At 44.0% G+C, this 22745-nt stretch overlaps 1 protein-coding gene across 12 annotated transcripts in view, besides 2 other annotated features; it reads right to left on the bottom strand.

The window, feature by feature from the left end:
- The window catches only part of CECR2 (CECR2 histone acetyl-lysine reader), a 198203-nt gene that overhangs the window by 74274 nt on the left and 101184 nt on the right, over positions 1 to 22745 (bottom strand). For 10 of the 12 annotated variants that reach the window (NM_001290046.2, NM_001290047.2, XM_017028785.2 and 7 more), the window contains exon 2: positions 6196 to 6290. Coding sequence is in view for 11 of the 12 variants with exons in the window: in NM_001290047.2 (NP_001276976.1) it covers positions 6196 to 6290 (95 nt within the window). In the remaining variant the exon portion in view is untranslated. Of the gene's footprint in view, positions 1 to 6195; positions 6291 to 9188; positions 15266 to 22745 lie in introns of those variants that run through there. The other 2 variants (XM_024452234.2, XM_047441344.1) reach the window with 2 other exon arrangements.
- Positions 7657 to 8210: an enhancer, noted in NCBI's record as "H3K27ac hESC enhancer chr22:17954710-17955263 (GRCh37/hg19 assembly coordinates)". NCBI's record gives its function as "activates a minimal SCP1, AML or CMV promoter by ChIP-STARR-seq in naive H9 embryonic stem cells {active_cell/tissue: H9 hESC(naive)}" and the evidence as "EXISTENCE:reporter gene assay evidence [ECO:0000049][PMID:30033119]".
- Positions 17753 to 18511: an enhancer, noted in NCBI's record as "H3K4me1 hESC enhancer chr22:17944405-17945163 (GRCh37/hg19 assembly coordinates)". NCBI's record gives its function as "activates a minimal SCP1, AML or CMV promoter by ChIP-STARR-seq in naive H9 embryonic stem cells {active_cell/tissue: H9 hESC(naive)}" and the evidence as "EXISTENCE:reporter gene assay evidence [ECO:0000049][PMID:30033119]".

The raw sequence follows: 22745 nt of genomic DNA, 5'->3' as shown, positions 1-22745 counted from the left end.
ATGAGTGCAGCTTGCAGAACTAAAGTTGCTCTGGGTGAATCAGTAACTGAGTAGTAAATGAATGTGAAGGCTTGGCACATGACTGTACATCACTGTAAACTTTCTAAATGCTGTAAACTTAGGCTATACTATGTTTATTTTAAAAAAAACCTTTCCTTCAATAATAAATTTAGCTTACTATGACATTTAAAAATTCACAAACTTTTAACTTTTTGATTCTTTTGTAATAACAGCCTAAAACACTTTTTAGAGCTATACAAAAATATTTTTTTCTTTTTTTTTCTGCTCTGTAGCCACAGCTAGAGTGCAGTAGGGACCGTAGCTCACTGCAGCCTCCAACTCCTGATCCTCCCACCTCAACCTCCCTAGTAGCTTAGACTACATGCATGCACCACCATGTCCAGATAATTATTTTAATTTTTTTAGTAGAGACAGGGGTCTTGCTATATTGCCCAGCTAATTCATTTATTTTTATTTTTTAGTAGAGACGGAGTCTTGCTATGTTGCCCAGGCTGGTCTCGAACTCCTGGCCTCAAACCGTCCTCTCACCTCATCCTCCCAGAGTGCTGGGATTACAGGCATGAGCCACTGTGTGGCGGCCTTCTTTATATCCTTATTCTATAAGCTGTTTTCTATTGTTGAAATTTTTTGTTTTTTACATTTGATCTGTTTTGTTCAAAAGGAAGACAAAAACACACACATCGGCCTAGGCCGACACAGGGTCAGGATCATCAATATTACTGTCTTCCACCTCGACATCTTGTCCCACTGGAACGTCTTCAAGGCAGTAACATGCACGGTGCTGTCATCTCCTGTAACAATGCCTTCTTCTGGAATCTCTTCTGAAGGACCGCCTGAGGCTGTTGTATATTATAGTTAACTTTTTAAAAATAACTAGGCTGGGCGCGGTGGCTCACGCCTGTAATCCCAGCACTTTGGGAGGCCAAGGTGGGAGGATCACGAGGTCAGGAGATCGAGACCATCCTGGCTAATGCGGTGAAACTCCGTCTCTACTAAAAATACAAAAAAAGTAGCAAGGTGTGGTGGTGGGCACCTGTAGTCCCAGCTGCTGGGGAGGCTGAGGCAGGACACCGTCTCAAAAAAAAAAAAAAAAAAGGAGTTCAAAACCATCATGGCCAACATGATGAAACCCTACCTCTACCCCAAAATAAAGAAATTAGATGGGCCTGGTGGTGCACGCCTGGAGTCCCAGCTACTTGGGAGGCTGAAGTGGGAAGATCGTTTGAGACCAGGAGGTGGAGATTGCAGGGAGCCAAGACTGCACCACTGCACTCCAGCCTGGGTGCCAGAGTGAGACCCCGTGTCAAAAAAACTAAACAAAACTAGAAGGAATACACTCTAAAATAATGATTTAAAGTACGGCACAGTAAATACAGAAACCAGTAAGAGTTGTTTACTATCAACTATTATGTAGTGTACATGACGGTATATGCTATGTCTTGTCTCGCTCTGTCGCCCAGGCTGGAGTACGGTGGCATGATCTTGGCTCACTGCAAGCTCTGCCTCCTGGGTTCACGCCATTCTCCTGCCTCAGCCTCCCGAGTAGCTGGGACTACAGGCACCTGCCACCACGCCCGGCTAATTTTTTGTATTTTTAGTAGAGACGGGGTTTCACCATGTTAGCCAGGATGGTCTCGATCTTCTGACCTTGTGATCCACCTGCCTCAGCCTCCCAAAGTGCTGGGATTGCAGGCGTGAGTCACCATGCCACGCCCTTTTTTTTTTTTTTTTTTTTTTTTTTGGAGACAGAGTCTCGATCTGTCACCCAGGCTGGAGAGCAGTGGCGTGATCTCGGCTTCCTGCAAGCTCCGCCTCCCAGGTTCATGCCATTCTCCTGCCTCAGTCTCCCGAGTAGCTGGGACTACAGGTGCCGCCACCACGCCCGGCTACTTTTTTGTATCTTTAGTAGAGATGGGGTTTCACTGTGTTAGCCAGGATGGTCTTGATCTCCTGACCTGGTGATCCGCCCGCCTCGGCCTCCCAAAGTGCTAGGATTACAGGCGTGAGCCACCACGCCTGGCCTGTAAGTGCTAGGTCTTTATATGACTGGTAGCGCACTAGGTTTGTTTACACCAGCATCACCATAACCACATGAGTAATGCATGTGCAAGCATGTTACAAGGGCAATAATATCTCTAGGGGATAAAAATTTTTGTGTCTATCACAACCTCGTGTGACCACTGTCGTACATGAGGTCTGCCACTGAACAAAATGACAGTATGTGATGCATGCCTGTATTGACTATCTGGCCCTTTACAAAAAACATTTGCTGGCCCCTGTTCTAAAACATGCAAACCACAACGGAAAAGGATACAGACACTTGGTTGAGTCAAAATCTGTTTTCTGCTGAGCCTTTGGAGGAACTAGGCATAGTGTTTCATGATGATTACTCTCACTCATCATTTCGTTTAATCCTCATAATAACTTTACTGAATATTGTCACTAATTCCATTTTATAGATGAGGCGAATTATGCACAACTAAATGAAGTTACTTTTTTTTTTTTTTTTTTTTTGAGACAGAGTCTCGCTCTGTCACCCAGGCTGGAGTGCAATGACACGATCTTGGCTCACTGCAACCTCCACCTCCCGGGTTCACGCCATTCTCATGCCTCAGCCTCCCAAGTAGCTGGGACTACAGGCGCCCACCACCACGCCCGGCTAATTTTTTGTATTTTTAGTAGAGACGGGGTTTCACCGTGTTAGCCAGGATGGTCTTGATTTCCTGACCTCGTGATCTGCCCGCCTCCACCTCCCAAAGTGCTGGGATTACAGGCGTGAGGCACCGTGCCCGGCCTTTTTTTTTTTTAAAAAAAAAAGAGATGGAGTCTCACTCTTTCGCCCACGCTGGAGTGCAATGGTGCGATCTTGGCTCACTGCAACCTCCGCCTCCCGGGTTGAAGCAATTCTCCCATCTCAGCCTCCTGAGTAGCTGGGACTACAGGCGTGCACCACCACGCCTGGCTAATTTTTGTATTTTTAGTAGAGACCGGGTTTCATCACATTGGCCAGACTGCTCTTGAACTCCCGACCTCAAGTGATCTGCCCGTCTCGGCCTCCCAAAGTGCTGAGATTATAGGCATGAGCCACTGCGCCCGGCCGAAATTAAGTAACTTTTTAAGCTGCATAGAACAGTTTAGTCTTGGAGGCATAACAGGTAAACATTTACTTATCCAAATTTCTCTTTCTTTAGAATGAGATCAAAGTAGAACTTCAGACAAGAACGAGTGTACATTCACAGTAACCGCATGTGGAACCATCATTTTAGGCAATTCCCTTCAGGGAAAAAAGTAAAGTAGATTGTAGTGTTCTTTCTTGTCCAGGTTCTCTGTTACACAGGTGTGTTCAGTTTGTGAAAATTCATTGAGCTTTAGAATTAGGAAATGAGCACTTTTCTCTGTGTGTGTGTGTGTGTGTGTGTGTGTGTGTGTGTGTGTGTATTATACATGAGTAGTAAGTTTCAAGATGACTGCTGTCACTGGTACCTTGATCACAGACCTGTAAGCTAACTCGAGCTAAACACACCAGTAGTGGTTTGTCCAGGTTCCTGACCCACAGAAACTGTAAGATTACACTTTTTGTGGTTTTAAGTTGCTAAGTTTTAGGGTAATTTGTTACTTAACAATGGATAATACAGCTTGAAGCAGACATCAGTATTAACACTGAAAAAAGAGATAGATAATAATCCTAGAGAGTCAAAAGAATACTAACTCAAGAAAAAAATCAAGGCCAATAAACTCTGCAAATTAAAGACAGATACAGGGATACGGTATTCTATTATTTAATAAATACTTGTAGGGGCAAGGCACAGTGGCTCACACCTGTAATCCCAGCACTTTGAGAGGCCAAGGCAGCAGGATCGCTTGAGACCAGGAGTTCAAGACCAGCCAGGGAACACAGACCTTGTCTCTACAAAAAATTGTTAAAAATCAGCTGGGGATGGTGGCACAGTCCTGTCCTGAGCTACTCAGGAGGCTGAGGTGGGAAGACTGCTAGAGCCCAGGTTGAGGCTACAGTGAGACAGGATCCTGCCACTGCACTCCAGCCTGGGTGAAACAGCAAGACCCTGTCCCAAAAAAAAAAAAAAAAAAAAGAAAGACCACATTGTAGGGATGTCAATTTTGCCCACATTTCTTCATAGGTTTATTTGATTCTAGTTAGAATGATTAGATAAGGGGAGTTCTTAAAGAACAGGACATAACTTTGTAACCACTATCTGGAAGAACAAACAAGCAGAATTAGTTAAGATCAATTTTAAACAGAAGGACAAATTAGAGGATGAACTCAGCCACGGAGGAATATCCTATGAGAGAAAACAGCCCATATGTGAAGGCTCAGTTCACAAGTCACTTTCTTACCCCAGGTTGTATGCTCTGTTAATATGTTGTATTTTTATTTCTAAGCACTTACTGTTGTAATTACATAACTGGCAACTATATAATCATTACTGTAATGATTCATGGACCTCCCTGTCACAACTGTGAACTCTAAGAGATCTGGTGAGTGTTTGTGCTGCCAGTACCTACTAGTCTGTGTACAGAGGGCTCACAAGGATCATCCAAGCAGACACTCTCACGCACTGATCATTTAAGGCTAAAATACAACCACCTCTGTGACGGGAAACCTGGCAAAAGCCTTTAAGCCTTGCTTAAAATGAAGATCTTAAATGGGCATATCTTTTGACTGAGTGATGTACTTCCAGGAACCTGGTGAATTTTGTACAAAGCTATGCATTATATATGTTTATAACAGCTAAAAGCTAGACATAACTTGTCAGCTACCAGACTGGATTATTTGACAATGACATTTAGAAAATGTGGTTATAAGAAAACTGATTGCTATAATGAAAAAAAATTCCAGGTTATGAAAATGTGGAATTAAACACAAGGTACGAATACAACAGTGCTTAAAAATTACAAACTCCCAAGTCTACATCCTAAATAGAGAACGGAAGAAAATATTCTAAGGTATATTTTATGTTTATTTTTATTTACAAATACAACCTGGGTATTCTAGGGGGAAAAGTCATTATACTTAGTGCACGAGCAATAACTCTCCCCTAGAGAATGCAGACTTCCACCCTGAGAAAAACAGCATTTACATCTCCTTCTTACCTTGTCTACAACTTTATTGCACATTAACAACAAGCATCGTTTCCCAGCCCTAACAGACTGAATTCGTTAGAACAAAAATATCTGATACTTGGCCAGGCGCGGTGGCTCACGCCTGTAATCCCAGCACTTTGTGAGGTCGAGGCGGGCAGATCACGAGGTCGGGAGATCGAGACCATCCTGGCTAACACGGTGAAACCCCATTTCCACTAAAAATACAAAAAATTAGCCGGGCGTGGTGGCGAGTGCCTGTAGTCCCAGCTACTCGAGAGGCTGAGGCAGGAGAATGGCGTGAACCTGGGAGGTGAAGCTTGCAGTGAGCCGGGATTGCGCCACTGCACTCCAGCCTGGGCGACAGAGTGAGACTCCGTCTCAAAAAAAAAAAAAAAAAAAAATTTGATACCATTTTACCTATCTGAGAAAGGCAAACCATAACAACTCAAACCCCCTACATGGCATCAGAAGGCAAGAGACCAGGAAACCCATTGCATCTCACCTTTTTGTGAGTTTGCCCTGTAGTTCTGTCCTATATAGACACATAGCAAAGAAACGTGTATTAAGTAAAGATCAAAACAAGAGGTCCTATCAGGACTCTCCTTTATTTGTCTCCATACATCACATTTTGCTCAATGTCTCTACACATCTCTCTTTTTTTTTTATTACATCAGTGCTGCTGGCTATGTAAACAACAGAAGATACTCAAATGACAGAAAGGTAATAAAAACTAGTTTTGATTTCTTAGGCAATACTTTACCAATACTGCAAAATCAGAAAATGGCAAATATAAGAAGAAATTCTACACTAAAATATGTTAGCTGGGGTATCCAAGAGTAAGTGATATGGATTTGTGAGAATGAAATAAACTCAAAGATTATGATGGAATAAAAACCCAACTGCAGAATAAGCCAAACACAGCCTGGAAATTTACGTGTACGTCCTCCATCTACAGTGTCCCGTGATGCCTAATGATCGGTTCTGGTTTGTCACAGGAGACAGGAAACATCACTATGGTTGGTTAATTAGTTCTTGGCGCAAGAAATGCTTAGAAAGATCAGAATTACTCACGTGATATCTCTTCGTTGATAGCAGCCCTGAAGCAGGCAGGCAATCAGGTCACTGATAAACTCCACGTCATCTCTGTGAAGAGCGGCTTCTAACTCCTGAGGGAGGGAGAGAGGGAAGTTGAGAAATCAAACAGAGATTTCTTAAAATACACACCCCTTCCTACCGCCAGCACAAGCCCCAAGAACTGAATGGTCCCAGCAGCGGAAGGACTTGCCAGAGATCAGCTCTGCCCTTCCTTCTGGCTACTGTGAGAAGAGCAACCGGATTCCGCGTTTTCTTTTTCCCAGGGTTTTATTTCTCTCACTACTCCCTCCCCAACCCCATTCCTCTTACCGGCACATGAGAAGAAACACACATAACTCTTTTTGATAAATCAATGCTAGCTGCATAATTAAAGAGCTTAACTCTTTGATTATATATAATCGAGTATAAATACAAATGTGCTGTACTGCTATTTTAATCGCAAAAGAGAGGAAAGGAGTGCTCATGTAATTGTTTATGAAACATTTGTCATTTACTCAACCTTCTCAAGAGATAAACCATCTGCAACAGCTTTAAAGAACCACTGTATTTTGAATGGCATTTGTTAGTAAGTGATAATGACAATTTTTATTTTGGGATGCCACACCTACATGGCTGATGAAAGGTGATTGCGAGATCCAAGGCTAATCTTACATCATCTAAACAGAATGAGGTAACGTCTCTGTGAATGTCTTTGCTTTCCTTGGGGTTCAGCTTGCCTCGACACGGTATTCCAACAAGCAATTGTTTGGAAAGGGACCACTGGACAAAAAGTGGTGGTGGGGAACTTTAGGAGATCCTATTTCCCTTCCCAACACCCCCAAAATAAGCAGGTATTTTCTTAGATGACAGAATGTTTTCTAGGCCATCAAGTCTCCTACTAGAAAAGTTTGCCCACATTCTTTCAACCAGGATGCAATCTTCTGCATGCAAACCATTTCCCAAGAGTCTGCTCCCTATGGTTTGACTTGCTCATAACCAGATCAGTAATCCCCAGAAAAACCAAACTTCTGACAATCTTATTAACGGTTCTGAAAAGTACGAGATGTGCATAAGATGCAAGTTGTGATCTTAACAGCAATTACATGATAGCAGACACAAAACGGGGTGGGGTTTCCTTCTTATATAGAAATAATACGGCTCTGGCCAGGCATGGTGGCTCACTTGAGGTCAAGAGATTGAGACCAGTCTAGCCAACATGGTCATACCCTGTCTCTACTACAAATACAAAAATTAGCCAGGCATGGTGGCACGCACCTGTGATCCCAGCTACTAAGGCTGAGACACAAGAATCGCTTGAAACCAGGAGGCAGAGATTGCAGTGAAATGAGATCGTGCCAGCGTACTCCAGCCTGGGCGACAGAGTGAGACACTGTCTCAAACAAACAAAAAACACAAATCAATCAGTACTAGCAGGTACAGAAAACACGCTATGGGAGCTGAGAAGAAAAGGGTTACTTCTGCTGTGGAAGCCTGGGAGATTTCGTGAGATGGTAATTGTGACCGAGTGACAATGGAGAGAGGCAGGGCATGACCAGGTGCAGGAGGATATTAGGTTCAGTTTAACTATTCTTTAGATTATGTGAAGGGGAGTAATGTGAGCTGAGATTGACAGGCGATCCTGAATACCCAGCTAATGAGTTTGGCCTTTCTTCGGGAGACAATGGAGATCTACCTCAGTTTATTTCTATAGAGAGGCAAAGTGAGACTAATCTAGCTGCTGTGTATATACAAGGAATTCTAGTGGTAGAGGGTGGGAGGGGAGATGTTAGCCCAAGCAACAGCACAAGAGGAAGGTTCTAAAGGACTTACTAAATGAGAGAACGGAGAAATAGGAATTCAAGATCTGCCACAAGTAAAGGCCAGCCGAGGCGAGGGAAGACTTGAATGGCTCATGTTTTAAGCTGGGCACTGGGCAAGCCTCCCAGTGACTTACAACAGAAGCAAAATCTTCAAAGCCAAAACTCCCAGGCCAATCTCATTTGATAGGTAAGTCAGAATCAGCTAGAGCCGGAAATGAAACTACAGATCACGTATTTCCATTCTCTCAATTTAAAGATGTAGAAACTAGCCGGGTGTGGTGGTGCATGCCTACAGTCCCAGACACTTGGGAGGCTGAGGTAGGAGGATCACTGAGCCCAGGAGTTTGAGACCAGCCTGGGCCACACAGCAAGACCCTGTCTCTTTTAAGGGAGAAAAAACAACAACAGCAAGATAAACTAGGTCCAGAAAGGTTAACTGGCTTCTCCAAGGGCACTAAGCAAATCAGTGACAGAGCTGAGTGGAAACCCAGGTCACCGAGTACAGTGTTCTTCCCAAAACCAAGCTGCTCCCCCCGGCCAATGTTCTCCATTCTAGAAAGGCCTGATGGTTTCTACAATTACAGTGACCGCCCCAACCACTGTGTCTTTTCTCTAAGAGCCCTCACATGTACCATTCTCCCTAGGTGGAAATCCCGTCCCTCTGCTGAACTGTACTGCAGTTCTTTACGGGAGAAACTTTATCTGCAAAGTCTTCCCAGCCAAGCTCCCCCACGCTGCTCCCACCAGTGCTCACTGTCACTGTGGCGTCCATGCATCCCCAGGTTTCTACACGTCCTGTTCTGTTCCCTTCCCTGCCATCATAAACTAAGAGCACAATCGGATCGTGATTAAAGGTGCTACAGTCTGTACTAACTAATTTCTCCTAAGATTTTTTTAAGCATGGAAGTACCAAATTAAATAATAAAGGCAACACTGGAGGCTGAGATGGGAGGATTGCTTAAAGCCAGGAGTTCAAGACCAGCCTGAGGAACATAGCGAGACCCCATCTCTACAGAAATAAATAAATAACAAAGGCCACATTTGAGAAGATAAGCTAAGAACTGGGAGGGTGTTTTCAAGGAGGTGACTGCATAAAGTTTGCCGTATGGTTCATGTGGCATCTCCTTAGAGGATCACTTTTACTATGTGGTTTCCAAGAAATTTAATTACCTTTTTCTCCATCTCCGCCTTCGGCACACAGACATCCTCTTCTGGCTTCCGCCTTTATCATGGCCATTTTCACCAGCGCTGCCTAGGTTCTAGCTAGAATACTATCCTCCAAGGAGGCAAGACAAGTTTTCTACATTGTAGCAATAATGTCAGGAGTGCCTTTTCTTCTAACACAATAGAAAGTAGAATATCAGGGATGCTGGACTAGCTCTTCCAAGGAGAATCGAATAGGCTTAAATGGTCCCTCAAAGGACACACATAGGGAGAGGAACTCTGCGTCACTTATTAAATATTCCAACTCTTCTCCCTTACCTACCATATTCCCCATTTCACCATCCCTGGAATATAGTAACTAACTCATGAAGTCATTAAAAACAGGGTTCAACATGTAAAATTGCTTTTTAAATATAATTCTATGATATTATGTTTACTGTGTCAGAAGCCACCCAGAAAACCCACCCAAAAATTTGCAGGTCCAAGCTAACTTGTGAGGTGATGAAGACATTGCTGAACTTACCCCTGGAGCTCAGCAGAACTTAAAATGCAGAATCAGTAAAGATGAGAACCAAGAATAGGTGACGAACCCCTGGAGAGTAAAGCCTTTTCTCTTTCCCTTTAGTAACTATAAACCCCCCCCAGTTAGTACCAAATGGATAAACCAAGGCACAGTAAATACAAGCCCTGGTCTCACCATCCTGTGATGAAATACAGAGGAAGAATGTTCTATCAAAACAGCCAAGGAAAGAAACAGGAGAGCTATTTTTAATCCTGCAGAACAAAAGAAATGGCCAAACAGTTAAAATGCTGGCTGATCAGTTAAAATGTTTCCCCATTATTTTAATGGGTATGGTGTTTCAGATATGCGGCTGGCATTTGGAAGACGAAACAGTTTTGGATATCTCTTTGACAACAATGTGAATCTACTTAATATTACTGAACTGACCACTTTAAAATGTGTTTACTACAATAAATTATTTTTCACATTAAAAGTGTCTATTTTCAAGGGTTGTAATGATTAAATGAAGCAGTGGCACACAGTAAATGCCACATGAAAACATTTATCTTACAATTATTTCATCTTCCTCACAATGATAGTTTGTGGAAAAACTGCGAAGTGTCCTTTTCAAAATTCGGAGGTTTCTAAACGATAGAAATTCAAATGCTTTTAATATATGGCCTGCTGTGTTCATGTGCCAATAAAACTATCTGCAAGAACTATTTGGAAATCCAGGTTACTACTTACAAAGCTTTACCACTTAAGGTTTCAACCCAGAGCTTAAGTCTTAGACTAAGGCAATAAGGGACTCTACTAAAAACCTCCACCCCAACCTTTTCTCTCTTTTCTTCTCACTTTCTCTCCTCCTCTTTTGTATTTCCTTTTCACTGTGAGCATTGAGCTGTGAGCACAGAAATCTGAACTTTGCCAAGATGCTCTGGGACAGAAGAGGAAGGGGGGAAAAACAGCAGAAAAGGCAGCTAATCAGCATAGGGCAGGGAGACCAGTTACCACTGCCCCTCTGCAGCTTCAGAGAGTAGCTGAAGGGAGTAACAGGATTTGCCGCCTTTGCAGCTGGCATCACAGCTCATTAGGGAAAAGTCTGTTCAACATCCTTCCACCTTCTCCACCCTCAACGACAAATCCTTCGAGCCGTGCAGTGGCTGCTGGGAAAACAACTCAGAAGTGAGCAAGGGGACTAGCCCCAACCTCTCACAGCAGCGGGAACAAGCAGAAGAAACAGGGCCTTTACATACCTCTTAAGAAAAGCAGTTTACCATTCTGCACTTCGGCAAGTCCTGCCTGCCTAATACACGAAGATAATTTCCAGACTGGAGACAGTCAAGTGACATATGCAGGATATTGCTAAATGCCTTTATTGTAACCCTACCAACCCATTTAACACAACTTTTCTTAAATAACATTACAGGTACCTTTTCTTGTTTGATGTGTTTCTAATCCCTGTATAAATTTTCATTAATCTTTTGCTAAAGAGGTAGTAAAGAGAAACTCTTTTCTTCAACTTCTGATTAAGGATCGAGATCACAGATCTGTACTACTGCCATTCGGTCACTGTAATTCCTTTGAGTGTATTTAAGGAGGGGGAAAATGTTTAAAGAAAAAAAAATCGTGTTTGTTGTATTTTATGTAAGAGGGTTACAAATCTTCCTAATTTGCACGGGGACCAACTACTACGTAGTATCTCTGTCAAAGGACAGAGATCTTCTGTATAGGACCCGGAACCGCAAGGACACAAAGGAGATGCAAAGCAGGCCTCTTGAAGGACTGTCCCAGCTGCTATCCAAGAGAGAATGCCTGGAGTGTGGGCTCAGAATACAGAAAGAAAAAAAGCACACTGGCCTCCAGAAGGCTCCCCTGACTTTGACAGCTGATGCTTTCTAACTTGGTATAAATTAATTTAATCCCAAAGGCATGCCCCATGCCAATTTACACTGTAAAGTATAAATCAGCTCAAGTGGGTATAATGGTGAGGGACCTGAAACCAGCTACATAACACTTTCAGTTGGCCAAGAGATGGATCCCAGGAGTCCCCAAAGGCTGGCCAGGTCCGTGTTGCTGCTTTGCTGGAACCATGTCATTCCTCTCAGCCTTGCATCAAACAGCTGTGTCACTGGCTCGATGCTGAGTAACACAGAAAGGAAACCAAAATAGCTCCTCCCCTCAAATATGACTACAACTCTAAATATTAGGTTAACTGGAAAATACTAATTATACCAATATATGTGTAAATCTAGAATAGGGTTTTCTGAAAATGTGTGAATTACTAAAACTGTCTCCAGAAGTTAAAAAAGGCTAAGAAGAAGTTCCATGAGTCTTCTCCCATAAAAAATGTCCATATGGCCAGGCGTGGTGGCTCACACCTGTAATCCCAGCACTTTGGGAGGCTGAGGCAGGTGGATCACCTGAGGTCAGGAGTTCGAGACCCACCTGGCCAACATGGTGAAACCCTGTCTCTACTAAAATGCAAATATTAGCCAGGAGTGGTGGCGGGTGCCTGTAATCCCAACTACCGGGGAGGCTGAGGCAGGAGAATCGCCTGAACCCGGGAGGCAGAGGTTGCAGTGAGCCGAGATCACACCCACTGCATTCTAACCTGGGCGACAGAGCCAGAGTGTCTCAGAAACAATCAAACAAACAAACAAACAACAACAACAATAAAAAACCCCACACTCATATTAACAATTCCTGAGCACTGCGAAAGTTGGAAACTATGCAACATGCTCTAGGTTTGTTTAATCCATTTTGATTATCCTTTCTTTGTTCAAAAGTCTTTGGTGTCTTCCAGTACCTAACACAATTTCCTAGGTGACTAGAACAATTATACTAGGTGACTAGTATACTGGACAAGCATGGCCAGAGACAAAATCTGGAAAAGCAGGTTCGCAGCTGACCACAGACAGCCTCAGATACCAGATGGAATCATCTGGACTTCATCGCTTAGACCCAATTTTCCAATTAGGATGTGAGTGTTCCCTGGGTTCCACGGTGTGTGGCTGGAATATAAAAAGCCACAGGGTAAAAATGGCACAGGTTCCTAGAGTTTTACTTTGACTTTGTATTGCTGTTGCTTGTTGTTTGGGATGATATTTTTACCTTAAATACTTGCATGACTCTTACAGATAAAATGGGAGATGTCATTAGAGAATTTATGTTCAGAGCTGCTTTGGAATACAGCTCCAGGCCTCTGAGGTTTGGAGTCATCATTCTCTTGCTACTAGGAGATCACTGCTGAATTAGTTGGAAATTGTGTTAAGTACTGGGGAGTCACCAAAGACTTTTGAACAAAGAAAAGAAAGAATAATCAAACTTGGAAGGTTAATTTGGATGTGGTCTGCAGAACACACTGTTAGTTAGGGAGAGAGACTGGAGGGTGAGAAGAACCCTGGTCTAGTCTGGGAAGAGGTGACGGGGCCAGTGCTAGAAATGACAGTGGAAATGGAAAGAAATTATGAAAGAACAGTTTCAGACACACAGTCAGTAAGGGTTTTGCAACTAACTGCAGGTGGAGAAAAACGGACAAGGAAAATTTTAGTTAAGTTTTAATCCTGTCCAGGAAAAGAAAAGATTATAGTATCTTTAACGGATAAACAGAAATAGGGGAGATAAAAGGTAGGGGGATGGTGAGTGATGCCAGAGATAAGGTCCTAGAAGTTTAACGTGGGACTTCATCTTTCGATGTTCTAGGTCTGGTTGCTCTTACATGATTGTGTCCTGGTCTCCTGTGTAAGAATAATGAAAATGTGCATAGACAGAATTTTTTTTTCTTTTTTTTTTTTTTTTGAGACGGAGTCTCTGCAACCTCCACCTCTTAAGTTCAAGCAATTCTCCAGCTTCAGCCACCCGAGTAGCTGGGACTACAGTCGTGCACCACCATGCCCAGCTATTTTTTTTATTTTTAGTAGAGATGGGGTTTCACCATGTTGGTCAGGCTGGTTTCAAACTCCTGACCTCAAATGATCTGCCTGCCTCAGCCTCCCAAAGTGTTGGGATTACATGCGTGAGCCACCATGCCTGGCCCACAGAAAATTTTATATATAATTTCAGTGTGTGTGTCTTTGAGTGTGGTAGGTTCCTGTGATTGAATCAATTCAATCAGCTCAGCATCTTAGGACCTGTGATAGTGGGAAGCCACACGAGCAGAAAGGCAGCTGTGGCATCTGAAGGCATACTATGTGCCAGGCTCTGTTATGTGCTGGGGACACAAAGAAGAAAAAGAGGACCCTGCCCTCAAATAGCAAAGATCTAGGAGGGAGGACAGGCAAAAAACCAGTAACCTTTTCCATGCAATGTGATGGACGCCACGGCAGAGGCATGCTGCTATGAGGACAGCAATAGCTGAAAGGCCAGCTGAAATGCCAGCAGGCATGCAAGAGAAGAGGGCAACAGCACAGGACTCCAGCAACATGCAGGTCACCGCCAAGGAAGAAATGCTAAGGTGAACGTGTGAATGAAGATTTCCAGATATGCTTGAAATCCAATCAAGAAGAAATCTGGAAAGGTAGGACAATTAGGAACAGCCTGGGTAGGATTATAATGAAGAAAAGAGAACTGGATTCTTACTGGAAAAAAAAAAAAAAAACAATGTTATCATCAAAAGAGGATGCGCTGTATGCTGTCCATCATGGGAAAGAGGTCCCAAGATAAAAACTGGCAGTAATCATCCCCCCTGCTTGGGGAGAGACAGTGATGACGCGCTGTCGCGGGCCAAGAATACTTTATCAGCCCTGGGAGAAATGACCCCGTCGAAACTAATTCTTCCCCTTCTAATTCTCAACTCCTAGTATTAGAAGGGTGGTGTGTGTTGAATGGCAGGTAAACGTGAGGACCATGAAAAGTACTGCTGGTCTCAGTGTGTCCCCCAAAATTCAAATACTAGAAAACTAATCCCCAATGCAACAGTGTAGGGAGGTGAGGTCAGCACATAACACAGAGCCTGGCACATGGTATGCCTTCAGATGCCACAGCTGCCTTTCTGCTTGTGTAGCTTCCCACTATCACAGGTCCATAAGATGCTGAGCTGATTGAATTGATTCAATCACAGGAACCTACCACACTCACAGACACACACACACACTGAAATTGTACATAAAATTTTCTGTATAATCACTAACAAGAGGTGATTGGGTCAGGAGGGCTCTGAATGGATTAATGCCATCTGGGGAGTGGGGTAGTTATCAAGAAAGTGATTTCCTTATGAAAGTGAGTTTTGCCATCTTGCCCACTTCTCTCACCTTCTCTTGTCCTCCTGCCTCCCGCCATGGGATGACAAGGTGCCACACAACAGCCCTCACCAGATGCTGGCACTCTGATACTGAATTTCCCAGTCTGAAGAACTACGAGAAATACATTTCTTTATAAATTACTCAGTCTGTGATATTTTGTTACGGCAAAACAGTATGGACTAAGACGGTTACATATCCAATTTTAAATACATGAAATATAATTCTGAGACTTGGGACCTATGGTCATCATGGGGCGGGGGGTTGCTGGTTTTTTGGAGAGACAGGGTTCTTGCTCTGTCGCTCAGGCTGAAATGCAGTGGTATGATCTCATTGCAGCCTAGACCTCCCAGGTTCAAGTGATCCACATCAACCTCTGAGTAGCTGGGACTACAGGCATGCACCAACAAACTCTGCTAATTAAAAAAAAATCTTTTGTAGAGACAGGATCTCACTATGTTGCTCAGGCTGGTCTTCAACTCCTGGCCTCAAACAATCCTCCTGCCTCAGCCTCCCAAAGTGCTGGGATTACAGGCGTGAGCCACCACACCTGGGCAATATAGTTAACATCTTAAACCTACAAAGGTGAGGGCCAGACTTGGTGACTTGAACACAATCACAACAGAGCAAGACACAGATTACACAGAAATGAGGGGGCAGGGACTGAAACAACTTTCTTTTATTCCCTAGTATCCCCATTTCCTTTTAGACACCTTGAAAGAGCCCAAAACATGAGCCCACATATTACTTATTTTCAGTAAGATGCTTAAACAACAACAAAGGGCATACTCCCCTTTCTTCCACAAATCCCTTTTTCTTAACACAGGCACCTGCTGTTATCTTCCACAAACCTTTTGTATTTTAAGTACCTCCATAGCAAAAACAAAAGACAAGCCCCGTTTAAGGGGCTACAAAAGACGACTGCCCTCTCCTTCTACCAAGAAGGACCTAACTAATGACTGTCTTCTAGGAAACTGTTTCTGGGACAGTATACAGACCATATATGCAAAAACAGAACACATTTCACATCAGCTCATGGTCTCAAAAGATCGTGTGAATTCTCAGCAGTTCTCTTTCTGATGACCCATGGGGTAGTGTAGAAGAGAAAGCAGAAGCCAGCTCCCTTGGACTGGTTTAGTCTCCACTCTCTCTCTCTTTCTTTCTTTTTTTTGAGACTGAGTTTTGCTTTTGTTGTGCAGGCTGGAGTGCAATGGCATGATCTCAGCTCACTGCAACCTCCGCCTCCCAGGTTCAAATGATTCTCCTGCCTCAGCCTCCCAAGTAGCTGGGATTACAGGTACCTGCCACCATGCCCGACTAATTTTTGTATTTTTAGTAGAGACGGGGTTTCACCATGTTGGCCAGGCTGGTCTTGAACTCCTGACCTTGTGATCTGCCAGCCTCGGCCTCCCAAAGTGCTGGGATTACAGGTGTGAGCCACCGCACCCGGGACCTTTTAAAAAGTGCCCCAGGTGAATCTGATTATCAGCCAGATTGAGGAATCTGCTCGGGAAGTAAGCACTGGATCTCAGTCCCTCCCCTTTGTTATCACTGTGATGCTCACCCAAGTCCTGTCCTAAGGGTTTCATGGCATCTACAGATACGTTCCTCAAAGCGAGTCACCCAGCTGAGAGAGATCTCACACGTGTTCCGATTGTTCACTGGCTTCTCATAAGAGGATTATGCTGCCCATCATCACTGACATCAGACTTGTTCCTATGGCTTGCTTATGAAAATGTTCTGGTCAATGAAATATGAGTGAAGTGACATATGCCACCTCTGAGCAGAAGCTTAAAAGATTATCACACTGTTCAAGTATAGCTATTTTCCCCTTATCCCAAATAGGAACTGCTCCTTTAATCTAGACAGCGGAAGGAAGACAGAAAGCGCAGAGTCAACAGCTGATCTGGAAAAACTTTATGAACACTCCCCCGATGTTTCTGTGGCTGCTAAGTACTGAGCTTCTAGGACTGCTTGTTACTGCAGCATAGCCATGCAAAAGCACATACGGGAACGAGGAAGAGAGAAACACTGAATGTAAAGGAAAAAAATGAAAGGTTTTGGCCAAGTGCAGTGGCTCACGCCTGTAATTCCTGCACTTTGGAAGGCCGGGGCGGGAGGATCACAAGGTCAGGAGTTCGAGACCAGCCTGACCAACATGTGAAACCCTGTCTCTACTAAAAATACAAAAATTAGCCAGGCATGGTGGCACGCGCCTGTAATCCCATCTACTCAGGAGGCTGAGGCAGGAGAATTGCTTGAACCCGGGAGGTGCAGGCTGAAGTGAGCTGAGATAGTGCCACTGCACTCCAGCCTGAGCAACAGAGCAAGACTCCTTCTCAAAAAAAAAAAAAAGGCAAGGTTTTAAGTAACAATAGTGGTTACCATCTTGGGGACAGATACCAGGTTTCCATTCTTTGGCTTATTTACTCTGCACAAAACTCTTCAAAGTAGGTATTAATGGCATCATTTTACAGATAACTAAACTATGGGCTGACATAAAGGGTTTTCAGTGTAATTCTCTCTCACAAAATAGAGTTACCTTGAATCCAAATGCTTAGAAAGTTTCTTCTAAGATGCTCATTCAATTGTTTTAATTTTGAGTAACAGAAATTTGCTTAAAGAAATGAGGGAAACGACAATAAATAGCCTGAAACCAACCTCAATCAATACAGGTTATGGATTTTTACAGAGGTCACTTGATTGAATCCATTTTAAAAGGAGCGGAAGGCCAGGCGCTCTGGCTCATGTCTGTATTCCCACTTTGGGAGACCAGGAGTTCAAGACCAGCCTGGCCAACATAGCGAAACCCTGTCTCTACTAAAAATTTAAACCCTGGAGGCGGAGGTTGCAGTGAGCCGACGAGATCATACCACTGCGCTCCAGCCTGCGTGATGGCGCAAGACTCTGTCTCAAAATAATAATATAAATAAATAAATAAATAAAGGAGCGGGGGGTAGTTACTTTACCATGTTCAATAAATGCTCTGAGGATTCAATAACACGTGTTGTATTCTCATTATTAAAATCACTTTAGGCAGGGTGCAGTGGCTCATGCCTGTAATCCCAGCAATTTGGGAGGACGAGGTAGGTGGATTGCTTGAGGACAGGAGTTCAAGACCTGCCTGACCAACATGGCAAAACCCTGTCTCTACTAAGAATACAAAAATTAGGCTGGGCGTGATGGCTCACGCCTGTAATCCTGGCACTTTGGGAGGCTGAGGCGGGGGGATCACGAGGTCAGGAGTTCATGACCAGCCTGGCCAAGACGGTGAAACCCCGTCTCTACTAAAAATACAAAAATTAGCCAGGCATGGTGGCACGCACCTGTAATCCCAGCTACTCAGGAGGTTGAGCCAGGAGAATCGTTTGAACCCAGGAGGTGGAAGTTGCAGTGAGCCAAGAATGCACTACTGCATTCCAGCCTGGGTGACAGAGCAAGACTCTGTCTCAAAAAAAGGAAAAAAACAGGTGGTGAATGCCTGTAATCCCAGCTACTAGGGAGGCTGAGGCATGAGAATCACTTGAACTCAGGAGGTGGAGATTGCAGCAAGCCAAGACTGTGCCACTGTACTCCAGCCTGGGAGACAGAGTGAGACTAGGTCTCAAAAAAACAAAAAACAAAATAAAACACAAAAACAGTTTAAATAGAAATATTTGGCCAGGTGCAGTGGCTCACACCTGTAATCCCGGCACTTTGGGAGGCCGAGGCGGGCGGATCACGAGGTCAGGAGATCAAGACCATCCTGGCTAACACGGTGAAACCCCGTCTTTACTAAAAATACAAAAACTTAGCCGGGCGTGGTGGTGGGCGCCTGTAGTCCCAGCTGCTCGGGAGGCTGAGGCAGGAGAATGGCGTGAACCCAGGAGGCGGGGCTTGCAGTGAGCTGAGATCGCGCCACTGCACTCCAGCCTGGGCGACAAAGCGAGACTTCGTCTCAAAAAAAAAAAAAAAAATTTAAATATTGATGTTTTAATGATCATGAATGTGCACCTACCTATAGGTCAAATACCCAACTGTCAAGTGAATTAGAAATTGTGACTTAGAAAAATTTTCAGAAAATACTATCAGAAGTACATTGAAAAACTTAATAGAGAGGCTGACGTGCTCTCGAAAACTGCACATCAATACTTTCCTTCAAAAGGAAGTTCTGGACTGGGCACAATGGCTCATGGATGTAATCCTAGTGCTTTGGGGGACTGAAGTGGGAGGACTGCTTGAGTCGAGGAGTTTAAGACCAGCCTGGCAACTTTGTGAGATCTCATCTCTACAAAGAAATTTTTTTAATTAGCTAGGTATGGTGGTGCGTGCCTGCAGTCCAAGCTATTCAGGAGGCTGCAGAGGGAGGACTGCTGGAGCCCAGGAGTTTGTGGCTGCAGTGAGCTATGAGCATGCCGCTGTACTCCAGTCTGAACGACCAAGCAGAGAAGAGAGAGACCTTGCCTCAAAAGAAAAAAAAGACTTTTATTCCTTAAAAATGTAATAAGCATAACAAATGTTGGTAGCTGCCAATATTAACTGAATTGGGCCAAGACAGTGAGGGGTGGCAGAGCAAAGATGCCCTCTGTCAAACCCCTACTCGTCAGAGATAAGCAGCAGGGAGAATATGGCCACTTCTTTGACAATTTAAGAACTAGGAGTTTTCTTTTAATTATGTGGACACCTTTTTAAACTTGATACTAGTAAGAAATTTCATCAGTTGGCCTAAAGAGAAGAAATTCCTGCCTAAGCAATTACCTGTCTCAACTGATGAAGCAGTTCACTAGTGAAACTTCATTAAAATGACTGAAGCCTCAGAGATGGTAACAAAAACTTCTATACAAAATCTTAATGCCAGTATTAGTGATGCAAACAAATTTTCATTCCCACCATTGTACTGCAACCAAGCCAAATTTAACAAATGGTTCTCAGCCTCCATCATACTAAGTTTAAAAGCAGCATTTAAGTTGATTCTATCTTAAAATAATTTCTTCTCTGGCTTTCAGGACACACCCACCCACCACCGCACTGCTATTTCTTTTCCATCTTTGCTGTTTTCCTCACCCTAGCCCTCCAACTCTACTGCTGGAGAACCACCCCTTGGACCTCTTCTTTTCCCTGCTCTTGCTTCCCTTTCTGCTCTACACCCACTGACTCTTGATAGCTCTTTCAGCATCATGGCTCAAAATCCCATCGATTAGGCTGGCTCTCATTACACCCCCCCACCTCTCCTCAACTCCGGAGTCCCCTTATCCCAGTGCCCGTCCCCGACGTCAGCAATGAATGTCAAACAGGCAGCGCAAACTTAACAGAACCAAACCGAGCTTTGGATCTCACCTCTTCAAACCTGATTCCCTCTAACTCCCCAGTCTCAGTAAATGGCATATTTCTCCAGCAAAAAATTGAGGCATCCTTGACTCTTCCCTTTTTCTCTCTTTTCACATCTAGTCAATTAACAAATCCTGATGACTATATTCAAAAGAGATTCAGAAACCCCTCTCTTCTCACACCATCTCCATGGCCCATTTGTCTGAGCTTCATCCATTTAAAAGCTTCCTCACCAAACTCCCTGCTTCTCTCTGTCTGCTCCTCATATCAACAGCTAGTGAGCCTTCGAAACGTGAGTCAGAGCATTCCACCCCTTTGTACCAATGTCTCCTTTAGAACTAAATCCAAAGTTTATATGACCTCTAAGACCTCACCTGTCAGCCTCCTGCTGACACGCTAACATCGCTTCTCACTACTCTCATCCTTGATCACCTCCCTAACTCATACTGGCCTCTTACCTGCTCCTCAGATACACTCAGCACTCCCGGCTGGGGCATCTGCACTAGGTTCTGCCTGGAATAGCCTCTCCCTCACTTTCTATAGGTCCAGTCACTGTCTCGTCCCTCTACTCTGCTTTATTTTTCTAACTAACCTACCAGCTATTGATTATATGCATTTATTTTCTGTCTTCCACCATTATTAAGCAAACCCCTTGAGGAGCTTTGTCTGCTTTGGGTTTGTGGCTGTTTCCCCAAAATTGTATTTGCCCACAGTGAGTATTTAATAAATTTTTTTGAGACGGAGTCTCGATCTGTTGCCCAGGCTGGAGGGCAGTGACACGATCTTGGCTCACTGCAACCTCCACCTCCCAGGTTCAAGCAATTCTCTGCCTCGGCCTTCTGAGTAGATGGGATTACAGGTGCTCGCCACCACACCCAGCTGATTTTTGATTTTTAGTAGAGATGGGGTTTCACCATCTTGGCCAGGCTGGTCTTGAACTCCTGACCTCGTGATCCACCCGCCTCGGCCTCCCAAAGTGCTGGGATTACAGGCGTGAGCCACTGCAGCTGGCCTAGGACAGGCAGGTTTTGATGACCTAAACTTCTCACCGGGACTTCCAAACTGGTTCCCCATATCCAATACAGACTAAACCTCTGCCCAATTAAATTTGCTTAAATTCAATTCTGACAATATTGCTTTCGTGTAGAAGCCTCCAAAGACTCCTCGCAATTCATCAGATTAAGTCTGTATCCTGAACTTAACATTCAAAGCCTCCCCAAATGACCTCAACCTACACCTTCTCAGTATTATCTTAAGATCTTTATCTTTTTTTTTTATTATTATTTCAGATGGAGTCTCGCTCAGTTGCCCAGCCTGGAGTGCAGTGGCACGATCTTTGCTCACTGCAAGCTCTGCCTGGGACTACAGGCGCCCGCCACCATGCCCAGCTAATTTTCTGTATTTTTAGTAGAGACAGGGTTTCACCGTATTAGCCAGGATGGTCTCGATCTCCTGACCTCGTGATCCGCCTGCCTCGGCCTCCCAAAATGCTGGGATTACAGGTGTGAGCCACCGCGCCCGGTCAAGATCTTTATCTTTAAAAAAGTAACAGGTACTGCCGAGCATGGTGGCTCATGCCTGTAGTCCCAGCACTTTGGGAGGCCAAGGCGGGTGGACCACGAGGTCAGGAGTTCGAGATCAGCCTGACCAACATGGTGAAACCCTGTCTCTACTAAAAATAAAAAAATTAGCCGGGTTTGGTGGTGCGCACCTGTAGTCCCAGCTGCTGAGGAGTCTGAGGGAGGAGAATCACTTGAACCCTGGAGACGGAGGTTGCAGTGAGCCAAGGTTGTGCCATTGCACTCCAGCCTGGGCGACAGAGCGAGACTCCATTTCAAAAAAAAAAAAAAAAAAGTAACGGGTACTTCCCAGTCTTGACTCATGTTGTTTCTTCTGTTGTCATAGGCATGGTTTCTTCACTCCCACCCAATCCCATCGCAGAGGAAAAACATGGGAAACATCTGGAACGAAGACTGACTTCTGTGTATTCTGGTGCACAAAGGCTTGCCCATGAGAAGGGCTCACACACTTGGGCTCACTGGAGAATGCTAATTGCTTTTACCTGGATAAATTGGTCTACTGATAACGAAAGCCATCAAACTCCTCGCCAGGAGTTTCAGGAGAAAGTGCCTAGCAAATGATGGTAAATTCTAAATGAGTCCTAACCCCAACAGGAAGTACAGATGGGGTGGGAAATATAGGGAGTTTGTTGTATCTATTTTTCTGCCTGAGGCATCCACCATCTTTGAATACTTGAAAGAGAATGGGACTTGAAAAATACTGTCTCACAAACAGAATATTTAAAAGAGGATAAAGGAAATAACTTTCTTAAAAAAAATCACCATTGTTTTAGGAGACTGGTGGGAATCAAACTTAATATCAGTAAGTTGTGTATCAGCAGTTGCTTTGGATAAAAAAGAATAAACTCTGAACCAACAGAGAAAGAGAAGAGAAGCTTTCCTCATATCAGATTGACTAGGACCTACAATAAACAGAACGTCCCATTTCTACAAA

The sequence above is a fragment of the Homo sapiens genome, chromosome 22 (assembly GCF_000001405.40).
Source record: "Homo sapiens chromosome 22, GRCh38.p14 Primary Assembly".
In the NCBI taxonomy this organism is placed as follows: domain Eukaryota; kingdom Metazoa; phylum Chordata; class Mammalia; order Primates; family Hominidae; genus Homo; species Homo sapiens.
The sequence above is the reverse complement of the archived record's forward strand: the minus strand, read 5'-3'. Positions and strand labels throughout refer to the sequence as shown.